This window comes from Homo sapiens, chromosome 9, assembly GCF_000001405.40.
Source record: "Homo sapiens chromosome 9, GRCh38.p14 Primary Assembly".
Taxonomy (NCBI): domain Eukaryota; kingdom Metazoa; phylum Chordata; class Mammalia; order Primates; family Hominidae; genus Homo; species Homo sapiens.
The window spans coordinates 38671474-38675089 of NC_000009.12; the positions used below are offsets into that span (position 1 = coordinate 38671474).

Sequence of the window (3616 nt, forward strand, 5' to 3'; positions counted from 1 at the left end):
GTCACATGAAAGTACTCCATACACCTGGCATAGGCAGGGCCTCAGACGAATGAGCAGTCATGGGCTTCTCCAAACCAAACAACTGGGCCCTCACCTCCTCCACGTGGAATTCTTCTCACGCAAATAGACACAGGCCTCATAGCAGAATGGCAAAATTCTGAAAGTGTTATCTCAAAAGACCAGAAGGGGACATGAAAAAGAGGTGAACCGAGGCTTGAAAAAATGTCACAAATGGTGAATAGATGAGATCAGGGTGAAACAATGCAAATGTTACTGGAAAACAATAAAAGAAATGTTTGGTGAAAGAAAGTCTAAAACTCATTTCCTATGATATCTCATAGAGACTGTTTACTGCAGAAAATAGCTCAGGAAGTCATCGGTCAGGGAATGATCACTGGAACACCTCACTTTTTTGGAGATGACCTCTGGTAAGGACCAAGTCCTCTCTCGTGTTTGCTCTCATGACCCTCCCCGTGGGGGCTAGAGACTCTTCTTACTCTCCTACCTGTGGGAAAATGACTCACCCCTAAACACTTGGTGGTCAGGTTTGAAAGCCACACAGGCAGGCAGAAAAGTCATGGCAGGGGCACTTCAAAATAAATCTCTAAGGGAACTGAAAAAAAAAATTCCGACTAATCGAAGCCCTGAAAAACCTTCTGAATCCTACCCACTCTGCCGATTTTCTGAGGGAACCTCAGAAAATTAAGGATGTAGAAGCGGAACTCAAATACTGTTGCAGCTCCTCTTTTGGAAAAATCACTCTTTGCTGTAAACTTTCATGTTCATGGGACAATCCAACCAATATTTTAATGCTAGTAGCAATCACGGGACAAGCAGTTCCACTCGAACGTTCAGAAGCCAAGGAATAATGGCATGCCGGCTTCGATGCCTTCTGTCCTTGTTTACATAGTAAACGAGACTCTCTTAACGGCCCTTGGAAAGATGCCCTTTCATATTTGACACTGAATTCATCTGGTGCAAATAGAAAACCTTGAGGAAATGTGAGCCTGCCTTCCCCAGAGGTCAGCGCTTGTTATGTGAGCGCTGAGGGCCCTGCTGCCCCCTGCTGGGTCTGTACCCCGCAGAGACGCTGGCCACACCCAGCAGAGCCAGCTGCTCTCGGACCAGCTCTTCAGCCGGATCTGTGGTCGCCTCTGAAACCGCAGGCTCCCTCTGTGATGGGCTCGCCAGGCCCTGCTGCTCCTCCGGCTCACGGAAGTGCCCTGTGGTGCACGGGGTTTTCACTCCAGAGAGAGCCGGGGAACCCCGCCCCCATCAAAGTTGAAGTGTCCTCTATCCAAAGGAGCTCCTCTGCCAGCTTTTTTTTTTTTTCTTTTTTTCTTTTTTTCTTTTTTTTGAGATGGAGCCTCGCTCTGTCGCCCAGGCTGGAGTGCAGTGGCGCAATCTTGGCTCACTGCAAGCTCCGCCTCCCGGGTTCACGCCGTTCTCCTGCTTCAGCCTCCCGAGTTGCTGGGACTACAGGCGTCTGCCACCACGCCCGGCTAATTTTTTGTATTTTTAATAGAGACCGGGTTTCACCGTGTTAGCCAGGATAGTCTCCATCTCCTGACCTCAAGTGATCCACCCACCACAGCCTCCCAAAGTGCTGGGATTGCAGGTGTGAGCCACCGCGCCGGGCCACTCCTCTGCCAGCTTTGCAGACCACTGCCTCCCTGAAAATCAATCTGACATCCAAAACGTGTATGCTCGACAGTGTTCTGGTGTGTGTTTTACCACTTTAAAAACAAGAGTGGTCCAAACATCTACATTAAGGACTAACTAGTAAATTGAGACTTGCTCTCTGAAACTCCACAGTTATGGCCCTAAAAGTTCCCAAGGCAGGGCCTTGCACTTGGCGATGGGAAATGTAAATGAAATGTGTACGCTCAGTGGTTTTCATTGACTATTAGGCTTATGGCAGATAGTCTCTGCCAAGTTATAGAATTAGTATTCCTTCTCCAGATTTCTCCCTCTCTTACACCTGGACAACTGGAGCAGAATTCATAAAATTCTGTGCTGAAAAGGTGAATGTGCTGAGAGAAGGAGGAGGAAGAAACAGTCCCTCTATTTGTTCAGCCAAATGGCTAAACGCACCGTGACGAAAAGCTGGGGACCGAAAATGAGCCGCTTCAGTTTACGTGAAGCAAACTAACATCTTAAGTTACATTCAGCACAGACATATCTGCTGCAGTAATTTTTAAAAACCGTACAAAAAGTTGTTAGGCAATCGTTGCGAACACAATACAATGAAAAGAGCGCATGCCCTAAGTCATGGCTCAGTCCTGGGCACCAAAGCCAAGCTGTGCCATCCCCGGCAAGACCTGGAAAGTCTCCCGGCCTCAGTGTCCTCCTCCGTGAGGCCTGGATGTGAACCTCACAGGGCTGCGCTGAAGAGTAAATGTGATAATGAATCTGAGGACACTTTGTCAGTGCCATTCAAAAGTTCTTGTTTTAAAATTTATTGCTTTTGAAGCCATGTGAATTGGCTGTTGAGATATTTAAAAATTCTCACCACATGTGGCAAGGTTTATAGAGCCCTGAGTTACAGAATGCCAATTCACAAATGTCAGCCACACCCGGCTTTGGGGTGGCTCCGTGCGTCTTTGGCTGTGAGAACTGTACTCTCTGTACGCTGCTGTATTTGGTGCTGCTGGTGCCTAGGCTTCCTCTCTCTTCTCCCTTCCATTTCTCTTCAAAACCCCTCTCCCACTCTCCGCCACCATAGCACAGAGCCATGCTTCGGGCATAAGGTAATTAAATAGACTTTTGGAATTGACCTAAATACTGAAGCAGCGAGCACAACTAAGGTTTCATGTGAAAAAGTCTCACAATTCCCAAGGAACTGACAAACATACACATTTGAAGATCAACATATTTGGAGATTGAAGACTGCCTGGACAATATTTTTCCATGTGTAGGCCTAGCACAATTTGCTTTTTTTTGTAAATTAGATAAAGAACCTTCACAGCTAAAGACAGTACTCTAGCAAATGCTTAAAGCTATGACCAAGTAGCAAAATCATGAGTCGTGATTCTATTTACTTTTCTATATCCAAAGCTCAATCAAACTAGGAGCAGAAGAAAGCTTTCTCAATCCGATAAAAGTTATCTATTAAAAACTCTACAGATAAATACAATGAAATAGTGAACACATTTCCCCCTAAGTTGAGAACAAGACAGGGATACCCACTCATACCAGCTCTATTCAACCTTGATAGTACAGTAAGTCAAGAACAATAAATGAAAGTTACAAAGTCTAGAAAGGAAGAATTAAAGCTGTCTTTATTTGCAGGTGATAACGGTGTACACAAAACATTCAAATTCAGAGACTCGCATGGTGGAACTTTCTGAGGTGTTTCAAACATTCCATATATTGACCTAGGTGATGGTTACACAGGCATTTACTCATGTGAAAAGTCACTAAGCTTTACACTTAAGATTTGTGAATTTTACTTGGTATAAGTGTACTTCAAAATAAGTTATAATGGTTTAAAATCATTGGCCTGAAAATATAACCACTGATGGTTTCAAAACATGTTTGCAAATTATTTGATGCTCCTCCTTTCAAAACGTGGACTGTAACTCCCTCCCCTTGAATATGGGCTGAACTTAGCGAC

General features: G+C 45.0%; 1 annotated feature.

Moving 5' to 3' along the window:
* Positions 795–1438: an enhancer, noted in NCBI's record as "H3K27ac-H3K4me1 hESC enhancer chr9:38672265-38672908 (GRCh37/hg19 assembly coordinates)". NCBI's record gives its function as "activates a minimal SCP1, AML or CMV promoter by ChIP-STARR-seq in primed H9 embryonic stem cells {active_cell/tissue: H9 hESC(primed)}" and the evidence as "EXISTENCE:reporter gene assay evidence [ECO:0000049][PMID:30033119]".